A 24,537-nucleotide genomic window follows, 5' to 3' on the forward strand; every position below is an offset into this window, starting at 1 on the left:
TGTGGCTTCTGCCCAGGAAGAGGAGCCTGTCTCGGAGGGGTCACTTGAGTGTCTGGGAGGCAGTCAGAAGTCCAGGAGCCGGAAGGAGAGCAGGGATGGGGGGTAAGGAGAGGGGGGATGGGTGGGGGAAGGAGAGCAGGGATGGGGGGGTAAGGAGAGGGGGGATGGGTGGGGGAAGGAGAGCGGGGATGGGGGGAGGGAGAGTGGGGATGGGGGGTAAGGAGAGCGGGGATGGGTGGGGGAAGGAGAGCGGGGATGGGTGGGGGAAGGAGAGCGGGGATGGGGGGTAAGGAGAGCGGGGATGGGTGGGGGAAGGAGAGCGGGGATGGGGGGTAAGGAGAGTGGGGATGGGTGGGGGAAGGAGAGCGGGGATGGGGGGGGTAAGGAGAGCGGGGATGGGTGGGGGAAGGAGAGCGGGGATGGGGGAGGGAGAGCGGGGATGGGGGAAGGGAGAGCAGGGATGGGGGGTAAGGAGAGCGGGGATGGGGGGTAAGGAGAGCGGGGATGGGGGAGGGAGAGCGGGGATGGGGGAAGGGAGAGCAAGGATGGGGGGGAAGGAGAGTGGGGATGGGTGGGGGAAGGAGAGTGGGGATGGGTGGGGGAAGGAGAGCGGGGATGGGTGGGGGAAGGAGAGCGGGGATGGGGGAGGGAGAGCGGGGATGGGGGAAGGGAGAGCAGGGATGGGGGGTAAGGAGAGCGGGGATGGGGGGTAAGGAGAGCGGGGATGGGGGAAGGAGAGCGGGGATGGGGGAAGGGAGAGCAGGGATGGGGGGGAAGGAGAGCGGGGATGGGTGGGGGAAGGAGAGCGGGGATGGGGGAGGGAGAGCGGGGATGGGGGAAGGGAGAGCAGGGATGGGGGGGAAGGAGAGCGGGGATGGGTGGGGGAAGGAGAGCGGGGATGGGGGAGGGAGAGCGGGGATGGGGGAAGGGAGAGCAGGGATGGGGGGGAAGGAGAGTGGGGATGGGGGTTGGAGGGGGGTGTGGAGCTTCAGATTCTGGGAGAAGTTTCCGGGGAGTTTGGAAAACAAAAGTGCAGGTCTAGCTTCTAGCTTCAGGGCGTGAAAAAGGTCTGGAGGTGAGGCATTTTGCTGTTAGCTTCCCCTCTGCAGTGCTGAGAGCCGGCATGGCTGGGAAGCGGTGCTTTGAGGGGGAGATGCAGGTCTCCCTGCCCAGGTGGACCCTCCACCCACCCCCAGCACTGGCTGTGAGAGTAGCCAGAAAATGGCGAGATTCTCTCCCTGGGTAGGAAGGAAAGATATGAGCAGAAGCGTGCCTAGCAAGGCTGCACTGTCGGAAGTAGAGTGGGCTCAGAGACGTCAGGACCCTGGAGGCTGGAGCTGGGGGACGGGACGTTGGGGGAGGTGGCACCTGGCCCACCGAGTTTGCATCTCACCTAGGTTGGGCTTGTCTGGTTTCCAAGTGGCCTCTGAGCACCTGGGTGTGGGCCAGCATCTGCCTGGGTTCGGGCTGGTGTCTGCCTCCCTCTCCTGGGGCCCCTGGAGCAGGTGCAACGGCCTTCGGGATTAAAGGCTCACGGGCCACAGCGAAGGGTGCTACCTTCCCTCCCTCCATCTTCCTCCCAGCGTCCTCATCCTGCACCCTCAGTCCCCCCTCCAGGCCTTTGTCCAGGACAGCTCCTCTCCCAAAGATGCCTTCGCTCCAGGGCTCATCCCTTCTAGCAGCCCCTCCAGCCTAGCTCCAGCCAGCTAGCCCAATCCCTCCCCTCTGGTCACTGCAGTCCCTTTGCCACCCAGACCCTGCACACGCTGGGCATGGCCATGATCCTCCCTGGGTCCCAAGTTTTGCTGGGGTGCAACCCTGCTCCTGACCAAGAAAGATGAGGCACCTGTCCTGGGGGCAGGAAGGCTGCATGTCTGTGTTCTCAGGGCCAGAGCGGGCCCCTCCTGTGCAGGGCGTGGGCTGCATCTCCTCACCCGCCAGCCAGGTCTTGAGAAGTGCAGGGGTCTGGCGGTAGGGCACATGAAACCCTTCTTGGGATTAAACCCTGGTGTGGCAGGCTGGTCTTTCATCCCCACTGCAGTCCCCCGACTTAGAAGAAAACACAGAGCCCTCATCCTCACGCCTGCTTCTCAGTGGTTTCTGGACTCCCTGGAGTCTCTCCTCAAAGCACGAAGGCTCTGAGCACCCCACAAAGTCCTCAGGAATCAGCACCAATAAAAAAATACACTTTATTGTGACCTCACGGTTTGCAGGGCAGCGCAGCGGGCACAGGCAGAGGAGCATGCAGAGCGCGTGGCACGGGTGCACAGCACATGGCGAAGCGGCCCCTGCCCGGGCACCTCCTCTGGACCGCCCCTGCACGCCTTGGGACCCTCGGGCCCAGCCGGGCCCCCTCCTCCCAACAACCCCCAGAGGTCCTGGGTGAGCAAACAGAGTGGCCGGGGCAGGCTTGGCCACCAGGGCTGGTGTGAGCCCAGAGGCGGGGTGGGCAGAAGCAGCTGGCACAGCTCAGCCGGAAGCCTTAGCGGAGGGAGGAGGGCGTGGGAGCCCACACCTGCCAATCCAGCCCTGAGCTCCTCAGCAATTTTGTCTCTCTTGATTAAACATCCCAGGAACATCAAGTTCACAGACATGTTTTCTTCTTCATCTTTCTGAAAACACCCAGAATGGAAAAGCAGAGAACAGCTTCGAGGTTCCTAGGGCCCCTTGACACTTTTGGGGGCAGAGAGAGTTGGTGGGAAGAGGGGTGAAAGGGCCAGGCCTGAGGCTTATGCAAGAGACAGAAGGCAGCAAAGGCAGTGTCCTGGGCTTGTCCGGGGAGAGGGACGGTGTGCAGGTGTGTGCAGGGGTGTGCAGGTGTGTGCACGTGCAGAGGCAAACTGCTAGGGCAGGAAGCCTGGAGCACACCCAGGTGCTTGCTTTGGGAAGAACACCAACCAGTAACTGCGAAGGGTGGGCACCAGCAGGGGGTGGGCAGCATGTCTGGGACCTCCAGACTGTCCCTCCCGGTGGAGCCAGAATGTGGGGGGCAGGGCCGGCCACCCAGCCTCCAGTCCAGCCAGTGAGGGGCCCTCTGGCCAACCCAGGAAGGCGCCTCCATGGCAGGGTGGCTGCCGTGGCATTAAGAGAGGGCCACAGACACGGCGGGGCTCACCCCTGGGGGAACGAGCCGGGTAGGGGGCAGCAGGGCCAGATGCCCAGGAGACCTGGGCTGAGAGAGGCGTGGCTGAGGGAGGCTCTGGTGGGCCACTCACTTCCAGCAGTGCTCCAGGGAGCTGTGGGGCTGGATTTTGAGCTTCTGGGGGCAGAGCAGCTTGGTGAAGGCCCGGCGGAAGCTGTGGTGGCACAGAGGGTAGAGGACAGGGTTGACAGCCGAGTTGGCCCACAGGAGCCAGAAGGAGGTTTCGTACCAGTAGTCAGGGACGCAGTGGCCATGGCAGGCGGCCCGGATGATCATCAGCAGCGTGTATGGGGCCCAGCAGAGCCCAAAGATGCTCACGATGACGGCCAGCGACTTGGCCACTTTCCTGTCCCGAGACAGCCGAAAGCGCTGGGTGAAGCTCTGGGACACCATCTTCATGCGCTTCTCCAGCGAGGCCGAGGACGCCGACGGCTTGGAGCCCCTCTTGAGTGAGCGCGGCCTCTCAGTGCCCCTCGAGGAGCTGCCGGAGCTGGAGGTGGGTGAAGCCACGGAGCCGCCCCCACCGCCACCCCCGAGGGTCGCCTCCCCGGCCTCAGCGCCTACGGCCGCCTCACCCACCCCATACCTGTGCAGCGGCATGGCCTCCCCGTGCCCCTTCTGCCAGCAGCCCCAGCAGCCAGGCGGTGGGGGTGGTGAGGGCTGGGCCTCGGGAGGGGGCTCGGGGCCGGCTGCCTCTCGAGCCCCATCCAGCCGGAGGCGGGTGCGCCTCTGGATGTTCAGGTAGATGCTGAGGTTAAAGAAGGTGACGCTGAGGAAGGGCGTAAAGAACTCCAGGGTGGAAGCCGTGATGAGGAAGTACCAGTTGTAGAAGAACTCGGCATAGCAGTGGCCCTCGGGGATGGAGCTGCCCCCGGACAGGTACTCCCAGCTCAGGATGGCTGGTCCGTACAGCAGGAAGGCCAGCACCCACACCAGCAGCATCTTCCGCACTGCCCGCCGCGTGTCACCCTGCTGGGCCCGGTATGAGACCTGCAGAAGGGCAGGCTGGTCAGGGGCGGGGCGGAAGGAATATTGGGCTGGGTGCGCCCCCGTAGCCTGTGGGCCCCTATGTGGGCCCTTCCCTCAGCAGCAATGCTCCTCCTTTCCCCTCCTGTCCTCCCTCCCTCCCTCTTTCCCCTCCCTTCCTCTAACCCTCCCCACTGGGGTCCCGGACTGGTGCCCTGCCACACTCAGTGAGAGCCTCAGAAGCTCCCTGGGACCAACCTGAACCCTCACTCTCTGCTAGGCTGCCTGTTTACCACCCCCTACCAGCTGTGAGCTCCCTGGGGGTCCTGTCCTTGGCCCCTGCACCCTTGGGACCAGACTCAGCATCAGCCCCAGACCACGTGCACACACAGCTGTTTCTGACATGATGCATCCTGATCCTGCAAAGGCCCGAGCCATCTGCAGAGGTTGGGGTGGGAGGTCCAGCCCCACTCCTGCACAGGTGCTCGCACCCCTGGGAGCTGGAGGTGCAGGGGTGAAGCCACAAGTTGGCCCACTGCTGGGAGACATCCCCCGCCCCGCCACAGAACAAAGCATCCCAGATCGACATCAGGGCCTCTTGGGAAGAAGAGGGAGAGAGGGCAGGGCCCTCCTCAGGGCAGAGAGCAACCAGCTGGTGGGGGCAGGGGGCAGGAGGGCCAAGGGATCCCACTGAGGGGTCTCAGGTAGGACAGCTCGAGGAGGAGGACCTGAGAGCCCCTGCCACCCTCCCCCACCAGCCTGATGGCGTTTACCTTGGTGACGGTGGGAGCAATGTTCACAGCTATTGCTAATGAGAGGTGGGCAGAGCACCCCCATGCCAGGCTCTCTGCTCGGCCGCTTTACCCTTCGTGGCAGCTCTCCTTGTGCCCCATGCCTGGTGGCTCCAGGAAAGGAGGGAGAGACCACAGGGGGATGGGCTCAAGAGGAACCCAAAGCCATGCTCTTTGCACCCTGTCTCTTAGCCTTTCTAGGCTAGAACCAAACAACCTGCCCTCAGTCCTGCAGAGGCCCTCATAAAGCCCTGGGGACGTGAGCTGCCAAGGAGATGAGAAGGGGAAGGTGTGACTTCAGCAGCGGCTCCCTGGGCTGCATGGCCCCGATGCGGGAGCCTGGGTGGGGCAGGGTCCCTGACTCAGGTGGCCGCTCCCACAAAGGGAAATCTGCGGAGCCAGGATCTGCCGCCTGCCTTCCCGGGGCCTGTGTGTGTGTGCACGCTGCACACACGCATGTGGGAGGGATGTCACCCAGGGCGTCTGGCCCCAGATCCTCCCTTAACTCCGGGGACTGTGGACCTGCCCCAGGGCGGGGGCTGCAGCGACAGCCCTGCCTTCAGGACCATCTGCATCCAGATTCCCCGTCTCCTGCCTGGGCCAGGTCAGTCTGGCTGCAGCCATGGCCCCGAGTGGGCAGCTGGCCGTCGAGTGGCCCATGTGTCAGCAGCAAAGCCAGTGGGACCAAGCCCACTTCTGCCCACAACTCAGAAGTGGCCGTCCCCACCCAGGTGCCTCCCATGGGCGTCCCGACTGTCCCTGCGGAGTGAACAGGAGCTCCGCAGCCCAGGACTCACCGCTCGGGTGACCGACAGGAAGCGGTCGTAGCTGATGAGCACGATGTTGAAGGCAGAGGAGGTGCACAGCAGGTAGTCCACTACCAGCCACAGCTTGCAGAGGCCCCGGCCGAAGGTCCAGCGGCCTGTCAGCACGTAGGGTACATACAGTGGGATGCAGAAGGCGCCTGTGGGGAGTAGGGCCACAGTGGGACCATGCAGCCAGGGGCCAGGGGACAGACGGACCTAAGCGCAGACACCGGCGGGACCTGGGGTCACATGGTGGCTGCTTTTCTGGAACTAGCCATCCTCATCTTACCACCCCTCCACCTGGTGTCAGCCACAAACTCTGCCCTGCCGCCAGCCTTCACCCCCACATAGCTCCCAGCACTATCTGTGTCCCCTGGGCCTGGGGGCAGGAGGGATGATCCAGGCATGGGGAACTCTGGCCACCACAAGACCCCCGAGAGCCTGGAGTCGGGATTCCCTGGACTTCTGTCCAGCCCTCCCAGCCCTCAAAGGAGGAAAGAAGACAATTTCCTTCTCCCCTCCCCCGCTGGACTCCAGCCCCTACCCTGGCGCTGGACAACCCTCGGTCTCAGCTTAGACAAGGAGAAAGCCTTTCTCCTGGCTGAAAGGGCACTTGGTTGCAGCCGCCAGCCGCCAGCCGCTACTACTACTGCCAAGCGGGCTTGGAGCGTCTGGGAGACGCACCTCACAGCCCCAACAGGTGTCTGGCGCTCCAGCCCCCTCCGCGTGCCCCGCCCCCCAGCCGGCAGCAGAGCCTGGACACGTGAGAGCACGCTCCTCCGAGCGTCTCCCCCAACCCCCACCTTCCCCACCGTCCCTTCCCCCAACACAGCTCTAAAAATCCCCCTTCCATGTCCCCTCCCCCAGACCTTCTCTAAACCGCCCCACTGCGCCCTCCGCGCGTCCTAAGTCCGCAGCAGCCTTTGTTTGGCTACAGCGCAGGAGCCAGAGCTGCACCCGCTGCCTTTGCGCCTTGCGCCTCGCCCAGTGCCCGTGTCCCTTCCCGGGGACATCTCTCCCCAGCCCCTGTCCCGAGGCCTGAGTGGCAAGGAACTTCGCCTGTGCCCCCCACCCCATGGGCTCCGGACGCCCCCTTCCCAGGCCGGGTCCCCTGGTGGGGCGTGTGCCTGCGGGAGCCACCCAGGTCCGTGTTCCAGTCCCCGCTGGCCCGGCCACGCTGGGCGCCCCTGGGTCCCCAGCGGCCAGGGGCTGGGGATTTACCGACGAGGAAGTCGGAGATGGCGAGGTTGAGCAGGAAGAAGTTGTTCTGGGTGCGGAGGCTCGAGTCGGCCACGAAGGCGAGCATGACCAGCGCGTTGCCCAGCACCGTGGCCACGATGAGCAGCGCCATGAGCGCGGCCAGCACCGCGGTCCAGGCTGCCGAGAAGCCGCGCGCCCCGCCCGCCGCCGCCGCCTCGCCCGCCAGCGCCCCCGAAGCGTTCAGCGGCCCGTCGGGCGGCGCGCGCTCCATGGCCCCGCAGGCTCACGCGGCTCCGGGACGCGGGGCAGGGCGCCGGCCGAGAGCTGGGCGGCCGGGAGGGGCCCCGGCCCGGGAGCCTCGTCTTTGCGGGCCCTTGGCCGGGTCGGGTTCCCCTGGGGGCGCCCAGCGCATGGTCCGCGGGGCCGGGGCCGGGGCCAGAGCAGGCGGTGCCGAGGGGGCCGGGGCCGGATCCGAGCCCAGTGGGGCCGGCAGCGCGGCTGCTGCAGCGGGAGAGGAGCCGGAGCCTGAGCCGCTGCCGGTGCGACCGTGCAGCCGGAGCGCAACGCGCAGCCGAGTGCGCCCCGCGCCCAGCCCACCGCCCCGCGCGCCCCGCGCAGCGCCCCCGCCATTGGCTGCCGCCCTCGCCCCGCCCCCTCCCCGCCCCCGCCCCGCCCGGCGCCGGCAGCACCACGGACAGCGCCGCGTGCCCGCCAGGCTGCCTGGAGCCCAGCCCCTGCGCTCACAGCAGCTGGCTGGGAGCCCGGCCGGGGCTTGACCGGGTCTGGGGGCTCGCCTGCGGTCAGTCAGCCCGCGCACTCGGAGCCGGGGTCTGGGTTGCTCGGCCTTTCCCGTGCCCTCGGCCCTGGTGACCCCTGCCCGGTCATCATGGAGAGCCCTGGCGCCTGTGGGGACCCGGGGTGGGGGTGGGGGAAACGCCTGCACCCGCGCTCCGGGGACTTGCCCTGCGGGGCATTTCCTCGGTGCATGTTTTGGGAATGTGGGTCTCCGGGGCAAGGAACGTCTGGAGGAGAAGGGATGGGGAGGAGGGGGTCTTGGAAAGCCGGTGCCCAGACCAGGGGTCCGCTCCACCTCCCGTTTGCACGGACCCTGGGTGCCAGCCTCCGTGTGGACAGGGCCCAGTGCAGGGTCCAGGGTGACCCGCAAGGCGCAGGCAGATGTGGAGTTACATAAGGGAAGATGAGGCGCCGGGCGGACCCAGCCGGAGGGGAGCGCGTCTAGCCTGGGCTCCGGCGGCCTCAGGCTGAGGAGGGAGCAGCAAGCCGCTCGGAGCCCAGCCACGGACCCCTGTGGACAGAGGGGCAGTCGCCACTGCAGCGGACAGACGAGGTCACTGCGCTCAGGGCGCAGGTGGTGGCTGTGTTAGCGCCTGTGGGAGGGGACGGGGGAGGAGAGGAGAGGTGGCAGGAGGGAGCGCCCCCACCACCAGACACATGCGCTCAGATACACCGGGTCAAGGACAGATTCCTCCTGAAACACTGAGGGCAGACAGACAGACATGCCCACACTCAGATACACAGACACCCACAGGCCAGGGAAGCAGCCACCAGCGCCAGGCTGAGGACCCACCAAGAGCGAGACACACATCAGACAGCAGGCAGGGAGGGAGCCGCGCCCCAGGAGAAGGAAGCAGCAACTCCGCTCACAGGAGAAGGAAGCAGCCGAAGGCATCCCTGGTGCCTCAAAGAGGCCAGAGTGCGCGTGTCTGGGGGAGGGGCTGCAGAGGGGACCCCGGGCGCTGACATGCACCGTCACTCCCCTACTTATAGCAGCTTCCCCATACTGTGGGGACCTGCCCCTTCCCCTCGCCCCCCGTGGCGCTTCAGAAACTTTGGGGAAGGAGGAGCTGGGATTCCTCTGCTGCCACCTCAGGGCTGACTGCAGAAAGGAACCCCCAGACCCGTGGCCCCAGTCAGCCCACTATTTCACGGCTTCTAGGAGTCTGCTCTTGGGGGAGGGGTTCGGCTTCCCTCTCTGACTGCTTGGTTGTACTCATCCCACTCCACCTGCAAACCCTACTCCTCATACAGGCTCCCCCACGTTCCCTGCACCCCACCCCAACTCACCCAGTGTGGAGGGACTCTGCCTGGACCAGGGAAAAGTTTTCAAGGGGAAAAGTTCCATGGAGCTGGGCAGCAAGGGGCTGTGGGGCCATCAGAGCTGCCACCCATGCCTGCTGCAGCTCTTGACTCACTGTCCCCACCCAAACCAGAACTCCTTGTTGAGAGGACTCCTCCCCAGGCCCTTCTCCTCCCCAAATACCCACTGAGGCTGCAGGAGATGGCATTGGGTGGGGGTTAAGAGGGGGCCCTGGCTCTCTCCTTCACTGGCTGGAGCCTCAGTGTCCCCATCTTGGAATGGGGAATATAAATTGGAATCCCAAGCAGAACCAAGGATGAAGGGGTCTGGAGGCCCGCCCAGCCATTCTCCCTCCCCACCCCTCCTCCCCTGTCATCCACAGCTGCCCAGGCTTCCCCGTGAACTGACCAGCCCCGGAGAGCCTGGGCAGTGCTGGCCTGAGCCAGACGACCCAGACAGAGGGAGCTTTCCTGGTGTTCTCTCTGCCCCAGAGCCTCAGGAGGGACAGCTGAGCCCACACCTGCCCCACAGCTGTTCTGAAACCCTGCGGAACCTGCACCAAGATCCAGGGGCCCATGGAATCTGGACCCACAGGCGGGGAATCCCACACAGCGTGGCATCGGCCAGGGGACCCACTTCTGCAGCCTGTCACCACAGTGGTGACACATATCCATCACACGCCTGTGGGTCACCTCAGGGCACGCTTGCGGGAAGTCAGAAGGAGGCCCCGGGGTTTGGCCCCTGGCAGTGGGGACCCAACTGTGTGACCCCGGCTGAGTTACCAAACTTCTCTAAGCTGCTGTAAATGGAGGCTACCTAGAGAGGAGAGGGCCTGGCTTGTCCCCGAGGTCTGATGATGACAGTGGCTGGCGGCCGTGAACGCCCCCTAGACTCAGCCAGACTCGGTGGGAGTGCTTGGTACCTGACCTCACCAGCCCCTGCAAGACCATAAAGTTGGGCAGGACTTGCCTCCCTGCAGTGCTGGTGAGCTCCCCCGCCCGAGGTCACGCAGGCGCACCCTCTCCATGGCCACATGTCCAGCCCAGCCTGAGGCCAGCAAGCGCACCAGCATGACCAGCAGCCATGCCAGAGGCCCCTGTCCTTGCCCAAACAGGAGGCCACTGTCCTCTGGGGTGGGGCTTGATGTGGCCACGGCAATGCAGGGTGCATGTGGCTGGTCCCTGTGTAGCCCGTCTAGCCCTGGGGGGCCCTGTCCCAGGGAGCAGCTATGTTGTGTATGTTGTGATGAGAAAAGAAAGTCGCCAGGGGAGACCATCCCTGTATTCATGGGCAGAGGCCAATGTCCCGGCAGGCTGGTCCGGGCTGGGGAGGAAAAGGACTAGAGATGGAGACAGGAGCTCTGGGCCAGAGCCATGTGGACGGCCACGTGACTGGGGGCCTAGCTTGTTGGTTTCGTATCACAAGCAAACACCCACAAGGAGCCATTCACCCTGAAGACGTGACATTAGCAAGCCTCTGTCATCGGCCACCCTCGAACTGGGATGTTTGAGGTGAATGCAGTGAGTGCAGCACGGCCCCACCGAGTGCAGTGGCCACCCTGGAGGCTACGTGTGGGCCAAAGGGCACCGACCCCCACCTCCCAAGGCCCACCTGCTGCTGCTGCCTCTGAATGTCTGACCGCCAGCAAGCGTTCAACACCCAGCCCCAAGAAGGGGACATTCTCTGAGGACAGCAAATAGCTGCTGGTGAGATGGCTCCATGGGTCCCCTTCCCCTAGCCCTCATGGACCACAGACCTGCTCCGGGTGTGCGTCGGCCTGTCTTGCCTGTTGAGCCTACGCTGCAATCCAGGGGCCTATGGACCTCAGATCCACAGGCAGAGATTCCTACACAGTGTGGCATCTGGCCAGGGGACCCTCTTCCCATGAAGGCAGAGCCGGCATGGCCCCCGGCCATGGGCCCACCAGGGTCTGGGCTGCCACACCACCCAGGAGCAGCCTCCAGAGGCACACCAGCCTGGGGCACTCACCTCCAAGGCTGACTCTGCCCTGCAGACACGGATGACAGAGCAGAGTCCTTTCCATGGCGTCACGTCTCCAACAAGAAGACCACAGGCCTTCGGACCAGGGAAGGAGCAGGAGGGGCCCCGCCTGGCACCCTCCCAAGCATCCTCAGGGGAATCTGTGCTTTCCAAACTCTGGGCTCTGCAGGGCTCAAGCTTCTCATCTCTGAGGGACACCTGCTTACTGGGGACACAGCTGTGGATGGCTCCCAGGCACTTTGAGCTCCTGAGCTCCAGCAGACAAGACGAGGAGCCGCCTTTCTGTCGGGGTAAGTGGCCCTGATCAGCAGGAGAAGGTGGGGCTGCTATTTCCAGGAGAGGAGGGGTGGGAGGGGGTGGGTGTGAGACTCAGGGCCCTCTTGGGTGCCACGGCACCCCCTGGCCTGATCGTTTCTGTGCATGGACAAGTGTGGCCACCCCAGCCTGAGAAGGTCCAGTGGCCAGGGCTCAGGGAAGGAGCGTGAGCCTCCAGGACCTGCAGTGGCCACAGCCGAGGTGGGAGAGTGCAGGAGGGAGGGGACGCGTGCCAGGCGGGGCCCCAGCTCAGCTGCCCCTGTCCCCTGACCCCTGATCCTTCACAGGCCTCACCCCAACACATCTCTCCACCTCCCACGCTGTCTCGGCGTCTGCTTCCTGGAGGACCCACAGCCCAGGTTCCAATTTTGAAAGGGTGGTCAGGGAGTCTCCACTGAGGAGACACACGAGCAAAGGGGGAAGAAAGGGAGGTGGATATTGGAGGAAGCAGAGTTCCAGGAAGGAGAACAGCAGGAGTGAAGGGCAAGGGATGGAGCACGTTCGTGTTCCAGGGACAACGAGGAGGCTCACGCGGCCGGAGCTCAGGCGGGGGCATGGGGAGTGCGTTCCAGGGGCAGGTCTTGTAGCCCCTTGAGCTGCTGCAAGGATGCTGATGTTTTCTCAGACAGATGCTCCAGGAGGGCCTGGGGGACGCTTTTACACAATCCCCTGACTGCATTGGAGAGTGGTCTCTAGGTGGATGGGGGCAGAGAGACCAGAGGGGAGGCGTTGCAAGACTCCAGGTGGGAGGCAATGGTGGCGGTGGAGGTCAGGCAGACCTGGGCAGATTCTGACATGAGCTGGCATGTGAGGTGTGAGAGGGCAGAGGAGACGAGGCGCCCAGCCCAACTCCATAATTTGGGCTCAAATGCCTCAAAGAAGGTGCTGACAATGAACCAGAGGGAGCAGGTTTGGGGGACGAAGAGGTGCCCTGTTTGAGGGCGCCAAGGCTGAATTGCCAACGGGATGTTCAAGAGATGAGACTGGTCAAATGGGCAGCCAGGGGCTGGGATGAGAGGAACTCTGGGCTGGTGGCCATGCTGGTGTCACAGCAGCGGACAGCAGGACGCTCTCCCATCACCCTGTGCCATCGGGGGAGCAGCTCTGCGGCCAGCATCTCTGGTGCCCAGAAAAGCTGATGGTGCGCCCAGGTGCTGTCCCCGCAGTGCTCTGTCTCTGCTGCATGGGGACGCAGCTGCTGGTGAGTAATATGGGGGTGAGGCGCAGGGCCGCCAGGGCCAGTGCAGGACAATTGTCCTTCTAGTTACAGCCAAGGCACCTGTGGGGGTCTGGGGCCAGCACTGTGCCGCCTCTTCCAAGGAACCCATATTTGCTTTCTCTCTTTCTGCAGGAGCTCATTTGAATATGGGAATGTAAATTTTTCTTTTTTTGTTCCATGTCTTTTTTTCCCCCGTGACATTCTGAGCCAGCTCCGGGTGCATCCTGACGAGCTCAGGGCCTGGGTGTGACAAGAATGGCGTCTGAGGCCGCCAACTTGGAATGAAAAGTTGAGTCTGGTTTACCTGCCTTTGCAGACCAGGCAGAATTGGGCCCAAGACTTGGGTGGTAGGAAGGAGAGAGGGGACAGGAGAGCCAGACATTAGTTGCTATAGTTTGGTTGAAAGTGAGAGAGCCCAAGTCCAAAGGGCCTAAGGACAAGGAGCAGGTGCTGTTTCCTACGCCCACGAAGTCCAGGGGCAGTGAGTTTCAGGCACAGCTGCATCTGGGCTCAAGTACAGTTGCTCCCTCCATTTCGTCTTATCCTGTGTGCACTTCATCCTCAGGCAGGGATTATCTCCCTGAGGTCTCTCCCTGCAGCTCCAAGTGACTCCCCTGTCCCCTCCTCCATCCCCAGGCAGGAGAGGAGGCTGCCTTTCAGCCAACAGAACCCCAGGATCAGCTGCTTTGGCCTGGCATTGGCCTGGCTTGGGCAATCGTGATGCCTGAGCTCACAACGGTGGACTCAAACCCTGGCTGAGGATGCACGAGGAGTGGAGGGGGAGTAGTGGTGGTCATCCCTGAAGCTGCTTTGAGGTCCCCGCGAGGAGCCCCTGCTTAATCCCCCAGCAATGCCTCAGGGGTCCAAGTGCCATCCTGCTGGGACAGTGGGCCTGGGCACAGAGAGCCTGGCCGTGGTTGGGGCGGCAGGGAAAGTGCGACTGCAGAGATGACCTTCTCTCGGGGCATCTGCTTCTCTTGTTCCCTGGCTGCTGTGAGAAGTGAGGCTGAGAGAGCAGGGAGAGGGGCAGTGATGGGTGATGGCAGTTTGGCAGGTCTCAAGGGGCCCGGGCAGGATGGCTGTGGAGCCACCCGTGGTCCATCCGTAGGAAGGAAGCCTGCAGCCCGCTCGGGGTCTGCTCCCTGCTCACCCAGGGCTGATACAGCCAGCTTAAGGGACAGGGTCGCAGGCTGGGCGTGGGGGCTCATGCCTGTAATCCCAACACTTCAGGAGGCCAAGGCAGGAGGATTGCTTGAGACCAGGAGCCCAAGACCAGCCTGGGCAACACAGACAGATCCTGTCTCTACAGAAAATAAATAAAGAGGCAGGGGCACACCCACACCACAGGCCAGGACAGCGGCCCCCAGAAAACCAAGCTCCAATCACACCTCAGCTCCTTCTGCTGAGACTGGGGGCCTGTTGAGCCCTGGGGCCTGGGTCCGAGGGCAGAGGCTGGGGCAGGGAGAGTGCAGAACTGAATGGAGCCTGACCCAGCGCTCTTCCCTCCTAAGGATGGCGCCCGGTGGAGACATCAAGCACGAGAGAAGGAGTGATCCCGGGAAGGCTCCCTGGAGGAGGTGGTGCCTGGAGGCGGTCTTGAGAACCCAGGTCTGATCTGAGGGTCAACAGCCCGGTGAGTGCAGAGGCTGCCGGAGAACTGGAGGAATAAAAAATCTTTGCCGGAGGAAAGGAGCTCCTGCCTCCCCGGAAAGTCCCTCCGTGTGAGCCAGACTGTTGCTGGCGTGCAGTGTGCACCTCCTAGGGCTGGCTGAGAAGTATTCGCTGAATGAATGGAACAGATTGCATCTGTGCAGCCTCCCTCCGTGGGCTAGGCATGAAGACGTGATAGAGAAAACAGAAAAGAAGACAGAAAGCAGAACGGTCTCCACTGTGCTTTTCCAGAACCCTCTGAAAGGCCGAGAGGGCTCCAGGGCAGCTGGGACCCAGCCCCAAACCCAAGTCCAGCTGTGGGGGACCCAGCCCCAGCCCAGGAGCCCTCGCCCCATCCGTAAGAGCATTTGGTGGGGCCTCCTGTGGCTATGATCCAACAGAGCAGCACTGCCTGGGGGGCCTCCGAGCCAAACCCAGGCCATGACCCCCGATCCCTGCTGGTGCCTGGGGGTGAATCAGGCCCTGGACAGTGGTAAGCATCAAGCCAGGGGGCCGCTGGGCCAGGCCAGAGGTAGGGACAGGCCCTGGGGGAGGGGGATGTCTGGACCGTCAAGCTGGTTGGCATCCAGCTCCTCCTGCTTCCCATGCCAGGGTGCCTTGAGACCCGGCTGGTGTCTGCCCTGAATACCTTGCCCACCCCCTCAGCCTAGGTCCCCCACCAAGTGGGGACCAGGCTTGGTGACCCCGGTCCATCCTGCAGGCCCCCATCCAGGGCGCAAGGCTAGGCAGGCCAGCCAGGGGCCACGTGCTCCTGGCTGCTCCACACACAGGCCGTTGGGGCCCTCCCCTCCAGCAGCTGAGGTCAGCATAGGCAGGGGCCTGGTGGATCTAGTGGAGGGCGACAGACAAGAACGTGGGACATGTGGCCAGCACACCTGTGCTCACCGCCCAGGGCTGCTGGAGGGCTAGCCCCGTCTCTGTCCACCCCCTGCCTCCCGCCTGGGTGGGGTAGTCTGTTTGGGGAGGAAGCAAGGATGGCCACGGCGGGGGCACACTGGAGGCCCGTTGTGAGTACTGTGCAGGCCGGTCTCCATCTGGCTGCCGCCTGGATCCGTTCTCAGGGTAAGGCTGAGAGGCCAGCCTTACCCTGGAACCTGAAGCCTGGTGAGGAGGTGGCCCCTCCTCCTCCCTCTGTCCCCACCTCCTGCACCTCCATGCCCCTCCCCAGACACACGCCCCTCACGCTCTGCCCCACCCGGCACCTTCCCCTATGGGTGCCTCCTCCCAGAAGCCTTCAGGGTTATTCCAGGTCTTCCCATTGCCTGTGCTGTTCCCAGAGCTGCTGGCCGTGGTCCCAGGTAGTGTATGCCCTCACCCCTAGGGCAAACGCAGCGCCCTGACCCCTCCTGGAGCCTTGGGTCCTCTTCCCCTGCAGAAGGTCGGGAAGAGGCGCCACGTGGAGGAGCTGAGCAGTGCAGGTGGGCTCAGGGAGCCTCGTCCTGGAGGGGGAGTCTGGGCCCTACGAGGACGAGGACAGAGATGGGGACAGGGACGGGGACGACCCTCTCTGTTGACTCCCTGGAGTCCCGCAGATCCAGGGCAGCTCCTGGGGACCTGGTGCCTGCTGGAAAAACTAACCCAGCTTTGATCAGTGCTGGGGCCGGGACCCAGTGAATGTGGCCGCCCCCGTGTGCTGGGGGAGGAAGGATGGGGGCTCCCAAGCAGCAGGCAAAGAATGCATGCGTGTGCGTGCGTGTGTCTATGTCTGCGTCTGTCAGTGTACACGTCTCTGTGCATCCGGGTATGTCTGTGCGTGTCTCTCTGGGCTATGTGTGTGTGCACGTGCGTCTGTGGGTCTGCGGGTGTGTCTGAGGGTGTTTGGTGCGAGCTGTGACAGAGGTGTCGGGAGGAAACTGACACTGTCCCCTTCTGCCCTGCAAGGGACAGGTCAGGGTGGGAGAAACAGTTCCTCCCTCCACAAGGCCCTGAGCCAGGGCAGGGGGCGACAATTGCTCTAGAGGCAGACTCCCCTCCCCTGGGTCTGGGCACGAATCACTGTCACTTGCTGCCCACACGCCTTTCCATACACACACACACTCAACACTCATCCCACACACACTCGCACACGCAACACTCACACACTCAACACTCTCACACTCACCCCACACACACTCACACACTCAACACACACACTCAACACTCAGTCACACTCATCCCACACACTCACACACTCAACACTCACACACACCCACACATTCACCCACACTCACACACACTCCACACTTATCCCACACACCCACACACTCACCCCCCACACACTCAACACACACTCATCCCACACACTCACACACTCATCCCCCACACTCAACACACACACTCATCCCGCACACACTCACTCAAAGACTCATACGTTCAAACATACTTCCCCCCATTCCCCACACACTCACACTCAAATACGTACACACTTCCCCTCAATTCACACATACTCACACACACTTCCCCTCAATTCCACACAAACACACACTTCCCCATTCCACACTCACACTCACACACACTTCTCCAATTCCACACACACACACAGTCACACTCAAACACATACACACTTGTCCCCATTCCACACACACTCACTCTCACACACTTCTCAATTCCACACACACATACACACTTCCCCATTCCACACTCACACACTCACACTCAAATACACACACATTTCTCCCCATTCCACACACACAAACACATACACACTTCCCCATTCCACACTCACACACTCACAAACACGTACATTCTCCCCATTCCACACACACTCAAACACGTACACACTTCCCCCATTCCACACACACTCACTTCCCCATTCCACTCACACACTCCCCCATTCCACACACACACTCTCACACACTCCCCCATTCCACACACACACTCACTCTCACACACTTCTCCTCAATTCCACACACACAAACACATACACACTTCCCCATTCCACACTCACACACTCACACTCAAACACACACATTTCTCCCCATTCCACACACACACAAACACATACACACTTCCCTATTCCACACTCACACACTCACAAACACGTACATTCTCCCCATTCCACACACACTCACAAACACGTACACTTCCCCCATTCCACACACACACTCACTCTCACACACTTCCCCCATTCCACACACACACTCACACACACACTTCCCCAATTCCACACACACACACTCTCACACTCCCCCATTCCACACACACTCTCACACACTCCCCCATTCCACACACACTCACTCTCACACACTTCCCCCATTCCACACACACTCACTCTCACACACTTCCCCATTCCACACACACACTCACTCTCACACTTCCCCATTCCACACACACTCACTCTCACACACTTCCCCCATTCCACATACTTATGCTCACACAGTCACACATACACACAAACTCACTTCCATACTCACACCCTCAACACACCCATACACACACACTCCCAATTCCACACACTCTTCCACTCACACACTCACACTCATTCACTTCCACACACGCACACACTCCAATTCCACTCACACACATTTCCACTCACACACACTAACACTTTCACACACGCTCACTCATACACTTCCCCCAATTCCACACTCTTCCATTCACACACACATTCATTCACACTTCCACACACACTCCCACAATGCCACACACACACTACACACTCACATTCACACTCTCACACACACACTCTGCCACACACACTTCCACTCACACACACAACCAGAAAACAAGGGAACAAGCTGTCCCACCTGGGCTGTCCCTGGGGGAGCAGGGGAGAGTGCCTGGGACCGAAGGGCTTTGTAGGGCCTCACGTAGCTTTGCTTGGAACCCACCAAAGTGGCATGGGTGCGTCCTGGCTGCAGCTGGGAACCCGAGGTCCCGGGCCAGACCAAGGGCATGAGCAGGGGGCAGCGCCGGGCCTTGATGGAGGATGATGGAGGCGCAGCTCCTAGACCCAGGTCAGAGGCTGTCTTTGCAGGACATGATGGGGCCATCTGGTCTCTCCCCAAGGCCCTGAGGGAATGACGGTCCACATCCCCGGAGTGCTTGTTACCCTGGTGCATCCCCCTGACCCTCCCCTACACTGGCCAACCTCACCTGGATCTGCCTCTTCCTGGCATCCCATCATCCTCTCACTTTTTCTGGAGTTGCTTAGCTGATCCAAGCAGAGATGGGAGTGCCCAAGGGATGCACGGTGAGGTCACTGGGCGACTCCTCCATCCCCTGGGCTCTGTGTCCCACCTATGCAGCACTGGATGAGCCAGTGGTGGAAAGACCCTGGTGGAAACATCTGGGGCTCCTTGGTGTGCATCTTGAGTGCCCACCTGTGTGCTCTTCTGAAGGGTGACCCCAGCCCGGAATGCCCTGATGAGGAGAGGAGGGAGTCAGAGACCTGTTGGGACATGTGGCCGTCCTCTCCCTGTGTGGCGAGGTGGGCAGATGGCTCAGGACACTTCATTTACCAGGATGGAAACTTTGCCTGCATCTGAGAGTACACTGGTGGTGCCATCTCCTTCAGGCATGGTTGGATCCAGGAGCCCGACGGCTACCATCAAAACTGGTGTCCCCACCCTGGGCTCAGCCTGCTGTCCTCTCAGACAGCCCTTGCCCTTGGCATGGCACCTCCAGGCTGACATCCCAGCTCAGACCTGGGGTCCATGAAGGGCCCAAGTACGATCTGACTGATTATGGCTAGGCAATGAGTGATGCCCAGGTCCCAGTCACATGCCCTATTTGGGGCAAGAGATGGGCTCAGCCTAGTACCAGCCTATGGGTAGTTCCCAAAGAAGGATTCAGGGCTGCTCCTAGGAGATGTGGTGGATACTGGGCAGAGCCCCGGCAATGCCCACATGCCCTCCAAACAACTTTCCCTTGCTCTGCCTTCTCTGAGCCTCACCAAGCCCCCACGAAGTTGAGGCTCAGAGTGCCTCTGTGGCCTACTTAGGACCTCCATCAGCAGCTAGGATCTCCCTCAGCACCTAGGACCTCCATCAGCAGCTAGGACCTCCATCGGCACCTAGGACCTCCATCGGCACCTAGGACCTCCATCGGCACCTAGGACCTCCATCGGCAGCTAGGACCTCCATCGGCAGCTAGGACCTCCATCGGCAGCGAAGACCTCCATCAGCAAAGGCTGGGTCTAGACCCCCATGGGCTCCAGATTCCACCCAACTCCCAGCCATCTGCCCAGACCGACCCACACCCACCTCCTGCAGATGCCCTGGGCATTACTGAACCCCTATTTCCTGAAGCCAGCCAGCGAGTGGGAGCACCGGCCAGCATGGTCCTCCCTGGCCCCAGGGATCTCCCAGCCCTGGGACATGGGACCCCTGGGCAGACTGCCTTCCCCCAGCTTGTGCAGGCTGGCACCAGGCACAGAAGCCCAGCACAGGGCCTCTTATCAGCCCCTCCATCTCTTCCCCAGAACAGGCCCAGCCTGCTTGCCCAGCCTGTCACCATGCCTGGCAGGGATGGCATCACCCAGCCGGCTGTGTGCAACTGCTGAAACCCCGTGGGCCCTGCTTCCAGTGCCGCACCCTCCTCGCCCAGGATGGCTGCAGGATTTACCAGGTCCTCCGCACAGTGAAAATGTGAGCTCCTTGCCCCAAGATGATGAAGAATTTCAAGACGGCAATGGTAGATTGGTAAATTAACCTCAGGTGCCATGTGACAGCACAGGTTGGGTGCTGTGAGCCATGCATGAAGCTCCTGGTGGGTACAGCTCTGCCTCATGGGTCACCCCTCTCTACCGTGACCACGAGGACTGGGCTGGGTATGCAGTGCCCTGCTGTGACCCCTGACACACAGACCCCTAGCCATCCCCTCCACCCCCTCCCTGACCTCCTCTCCCAGGGATGCAACTGGGGGAGCACACCCATCCCCAGAAGAACCCCAAATCTCTGGCTGGCTGTCTCTTACCCAACCCCCATCCCCAGCTCCAGCTGAGGGGCAAGCGTGCTGCTGGGCTGCTCCTGAGGAGAAACCCATGGCGCCACCCTCAGGCCCCCGGTGGCTCCTCAACCTGGGCCCCATCTCTGCCCCCCATCTTGGCTCCTCAGGCATATTTAAACTTTGCCCCTCCCACCCCCGTGCCTGGCGGATCCCCTGGCACTGAGGCCCAGCCAGTGGCTCCAGCCAACGCACTTGGCTCCCGCAGCAAGTTAAATCTAACCCAGCCCAGCTGTCTCTCCTCCGGCTCCCACCTGCCCCTCCCGTTCCCTGCAGGGATGTGCCCACACCCTGCCAACCCTACATGGGCCCTCAGGAAGGGTGCAGAGGTCCCCCAGGGTCCCCCACTTTCCCACACTAGGAAAGCCCTTTGCCTAGCAGCCTCTGGGGTGGGTGCCCTGCTTCTGGAGGTACCCCGGCACCCAGGGTGGGGCCAGCAGAGTGCAGCAGGTTTTCAACAGGTATTTCAAGAAGGAGCAGGAACCCACTTCCCATCAGTCAGGGTGCAGCCAGGAAGAGGGAAACTCCAGGGCCAACGCTGAAGTGGCCGCTGCAGCACCACGCTGGGGCACGGAGTTGGAGTACAGCCCTTGTGCCACAGGCGTGCCAGGGAATGTGTGCCAGGCGCTCTGTCTTGCATCTGGGGCTGTCGGTTCTTCTGAGGCAGGGCACTCATGGGTCGCTTCTGGAGATGTCCACATTTCTGGGTCTGGGACTGTCTAGGCCTGGCTTTGGGGCCATCTGTAATCTGCTCCCCGTAGCCCCATGTTTTGTTTAGGCTGGAAGTGCACTCAGCTAAAATGCCGTTATCCTACCAAAAGTGGCATAGGATGGAGTTCTGGCCAGTGAGATGTGAGCAGAAGTGCTGGGTGTGTCTTCAGGGACAGATCCTCAAAGGGAGCTGACTCATCTAGGGGGCAGCACTTTTGCTCTTCCTCTTTTCCTTCCTCCTTTCTGGTCAGGTATGCTTGTGATGGCTGGAGCATCAGCAGCTGTTTTGGGCCATGAGGTGACACTGAGGCTGGAAGCCAGCACTAGGAGAGTGATACAGTAAGGTAGGAGCTGCGTCCCTGAGGATGCCACTAGGAGAGGATAGTGTAAGATAGGAGCTGTGTCCCTGAGGATGCATGGTACCCTGCCAGCTGGACAGCGCAGGCTTGTGTCACCGAGAGAAAAGTACGTTTCTACTCTGTCGAAGCCTCTGTTACTCTGAGCTTTCTCAGGAACGCAGCTCTAACCAGTTCTAAAGGGCAGGCAGCCATGTTGGCTCAAATGCTTCCCCCAGCAAGGCAGGAAGCCACTCCAGTGTCCTGCAAGAAACTTCATAGAAAAAAGGCTTCCATCCCCATATGTTGGGGGTCTGCATCAGGCCCTTCCTGGGCCCTGGAGCCTCCATGTGCACCTGAGTGGGAAGGGCTCTGGGAAGCCTAAGGCTGGGGAGGGCACCTGTTGACTTTGTTTAAATAGTGTTCTCAAGCCTACTTGACTGAGGAACCCCTTCCTCCAGAAACAAGGAATTACAGCCGGAAAGGCCTCTGGGAAGGCCACCTTCTCTGCCCTTCACTGCGGGGTGGGGCGTGTCCCTGAGCTACTGCACTCAGAGGAGCTGGGCCTGGCCCCGGGCAGGCAGCAAGCACTCCAGGAGAGGCTGTGGCTGCTGCCAGCTCTGTGAGCGGGAAACTGGGGGGCCTTTCTCCCCTCTCCCCAGCCCCTCATTCCAACTGCTCTGGAGCTGTGGCCTGAGCCCCACCCTGGCCCTCTGCTCAGAAGGGCCTGTTCCCAGGCAGGTCTCAGTGCCCAGGAGTGGAGAGGGGGGCTGTGGAGACCAGGGGGATCATCCCAGGAAGAGTGGGTTTGCAAAGCTGCAGCAGCAAGGAAGCTGTGGGGTAAAAAGTTTATAAGAGGAACACTATTTTTTCTTTTGGCAGAATTTAATGGGTGCAGATTGTTCAGGTCCCAAAGACATGGGAAAAAAAAAAAAGAGAGAGAGAAAGAAAAAGCCCTTTGCTGCTGCTATTGATAACTTGTCTCGCTTCACGTGGTGGGTTCAAAACTAAAAATACTCTCCTCCCCACAGCAGAGAAGCCAGGGCTGTCACGTCGCAGAGGAGACTGGAGAGCTGCGGCGGGGAGGGGTCAGCTGCGGCCACGTGAGGGCCAGGCCCCTCTCTGACTGCCCAGGCTGCATCCACACAGAAGATTCCATGGCTTTCCATAAAAGAGAGTGGGAGAATGTCCTCTCTAAAGGCCTGGGGAGTGCCTGGGGAGAGGAGACAGCCTCAGCTGGGGCTCACCAGCCAGCAGCTGCCAGCCAGGCCAGCAATGCCAAGGCACCCGGCGTTCCTGGAAGCCAAGCCCTGTTTGATCTAATGGGGCAGCTGTGGGTGCAGACCCAGATAAAGAGATAAACCCAGACCCAGAAACCTGGGGGAGGAGGTAAGAGTGGAGCGGGGGAAAGGGCGGTGGGTCGTAGGCGGGACTGGTGCTGCCAGGCCCTGGGCAAGCTGCTTCTGCTCTCTAAGCCTCAGTTTCCCCATCCAAAAGGTGGGAGCAACAACCTCTCTTCCGCCTCCTTCACCGTGAGAGGAAAGGAAGCGGGATGACATAGTTGTGGCTGGGACTGCTGGACCCCGCATGCCAGCCCTGGGAGGTATGTGGGTCATGAAATCCACCCACTGGTGACCTCCCCCATGGTGAGGGAGGGAGAGAGCTTCTCCCCTCCTTGGCTAAGAGGACAGAGGGAGGATCCTACAAATTCTGTCAGGAAGCAGAAATTTGGTCTGAGAGCAGTGAAGGTGGGAGCAGACACCCCCCAAATCACCTGCAGGATGAGCATTTCTCAGGCTCTAGAGAGCATGTGTGGGACACAGCCGCCAGCCCACCTGGTGCGGGGGTCCAGCAGCCACAGCCATGGGAACTCCTGGGCCTGTTGTTCGTGTGCGGATCCTGGTCCGGGAGCCTGGATGCGGCTCTGCCTTGCCGACAAGCTCCTGGGCCAGGCCTGGTCCACCAGACCTCCCTATGCTTGGAGTGCCTGCTTGTTGTGCCTGGAGCTGTGCTGGGCCCTTCCTCATTGCAGGGCTGGGGGAGTCACTTAACCTGTCTGGGGCTCAGTCTTCTCATCTGTAAAGTGGGAATGATGGCACCTGGTACCCACTTGATTGGCTGTTGCAAACATGAAACCAGATGGGCCTGTAAATCACAGGGCACTCGGCCGCCATCACCATCATCATCATCAACATCATCATCCTCATCATCATGGCCCCAGCTCATCCATCTTTGTTGCCTTCTCCACCCCCATCTTCCATCCTTGGAGAACTGTGCCTCTTGAATTGGCCTCGTGACCTAGTAAAGATCATAACAAAGACGCCTAAGTTGGTCTCAAGGCACCCTCCTTACTACCCACCAACTGAGGGAGGATTCTCGCCTAGTCCCAGCAACTGGCCCCGGGGAGGAAGTACCCTTCCCAGTCCTGGCACGTCTCCAGCAGTGCTGGCTGACGGCAGACTACCCTTGAAGCTCAGTTACTGCATTTGTGGAGAGGGGTGAAACCCCTGCTCCAGCCCAGGGGCCATCTGAGATCACACCCCCAACCCCAAGGCCAGGGTGGATCTCCCTGCTTGGCCCTGGGGTGGTCCCTGGGCAGATGAGAGGGTCCTTCTGCCTGAGCCTCTGAGGCTGCCCTCACTGCAGAGCTCGTGGTCAAGGGGTGGGTGGGCAGGTTGGATCCCCTCAAGGGCACAGGGGTTAGAGTCTTAGAGACTTAGGGTGAGGGACATGGAGAGTGATGGGTTTCTGGGACCCTGAGCTGGCCCTGGCAAGGCCCACAGGGAAAGCTGTGGAGCGCAGTCATCTCCGTGGCAACTGGCCTCATCGTCCTTGTCCTGGCTTGGGGGCCGCACGCCTTCCCTTCCCTTTCACCGGCTGGAGTCGCTTTCTTCAGAGGTAACCATGGCAACCCCTTTGTTTCTGAGGCCTGCCCGCCCTCCTCCCCGTTCTCTCTTCAGGAGAGGCTCAGCCAGCTCCTTCCTGGTCCCGGCACGTCTCTAGTGGCGCCGACTGACAGTGGCCCACCAGTGAGTGGGGCCAGCCCCTGGGGTGGGGGAGAACGGCCCTGCTGGGCCCAGAGATGTGGCCTGGGCCCCACCCCTGCCACAGAGGCCACGTTCATTGGCTCACTCATGCCCTGAAATTTATAGAGAGTACCCACGTCTGCCACGGGGCCACAGATGGGGCAAAGGCCTGTCCCTGCCTCCATGGCCCTGCTAGGGGCAGCCTGGAAGTGGGGAGACAAGGCCTGAGGAGGGGGTGCAGAGGCCCAACGGGGGCTGGCTTTGCTGCAGGACGCACTGCGGGGTCACGGGTCATCTGCCAGAGCTCTCAAGGCCACAGGAAGCCCAGGAC

The 24,537-nt window shown here is 61.8% G+C and overlaps 1 protein-coding gene and 1 long non-coding RNA gene across 4 annotated transcripts, besides 3 other annotated features; one reads left to right on the plus strand and one right to left on the minus strand.

Moving 5' to 3' along the window:
- Positions 1,529 to 2,029: an enhancer, noted in NCBI's record as "H3K4me1 hESC enhancer chr20:60789379-60789879 (GRCh37/hg19 assembly coordinates)". NCBI's record gives its function as "activates a minimal SCP1, AML or CMV promoter by ChIP-STARR-seq in primed H9 embryonic stem cells {active_cell/tissue: H9 hESC(primed)}" and the evidence as "EXISTENCE:reporter gene assay evidence [ECO:0000049][PMID:30033119]".
- Positions 2,166 to 7,484, minus strand: HRH3 (histamine receptor H3). Of its 3 annotated transcripts, none has more exons than XM_017027623.2 (4): positions 6,927 to 7,484; positions 5,697 to 5,821; positions 3,216 to 4,132; positions 2,166 to 2,612 (listed from the first exon to the last, which is right to left on the minus strand). In XM_017027623.2, exons 1-4 carry the CDS (start codon positions 7,174 to 7,176, stop codon positions 2,585 to 2,587), a joined length of 1,320 nt encoding a protein of 439 aa, XP_016883112.2. In that variant the 5' UTR covers positions 7,177 to 7,484; the 3' UTR covers positions 2,166 to 2,584. The 3 variants fall into 3 exon arrangements, with proteins under 3 accessions (XP_016883112.2, XP_005260323.1, NP_009163.2); XM_005260266.4 differs by having other exon boundaries at positions 5,697 to 5,863; NM_007232.3 differs by having other exon boundaries at positions 2,166 to 4,132; positions 5,697 to 5,863.
- Positions 7,589 to 7,698: a silencer, noted in NCBI's record as "silent region_13104". NCBI's record gives its function as "represses an Ori minimal core promoter by ATAC-STARR-seq in GM12878 lymphoblastoid cells {active_cell/tissue: GM12878}" and the evidence as "EXISTENCE:reporter gene assay evidence [ECO:0000049][PMID:35858748]".
- Positions 15,312 to 16,212: an enhancer, noted in NCBI's record as "H3K27ac-H3K4me1 hESC enhancer chr20:60803162-60804062 (GRCh37/hg19 assembly coordinates)". NCBI's record gives its function as "activates a minimal SCP1, AML or CMV promoter by ChIP-STARR-seq in naive H9 embryonic stem cells {active_cell/tissue: H9 hESC(naive)}" and the evidence as "EXISTENCE:reporter gene assay evidence [ECO:0000049][PMID:30033119]".
- On the plus strand, positions 15,449 to 23,507 carry LOC105369209 (uncharacterized). The gene is made up of 4 exons (NR_160555.1): positions 15,449 to 15,507; positions 19,611 to 21,189; positions 22,212 to 22,569; positions 22,678 to 23,507. It is a non-coding gene; the product is annotated as an uncharacterized LOC105369209 (long non-coding RNA).

Source organism: Homo sapiens, chromosome 20, assembly GCF_000001405.40.
Source record: "Homo sapiens chromosome 20, GRCh38.p14 Primary Assembly".
Lineage (NCBI taxonomy): Eukaryota > Metazoa > Chordata > Mammalia > Primates > Hominidae > Homo > Homo sapiens.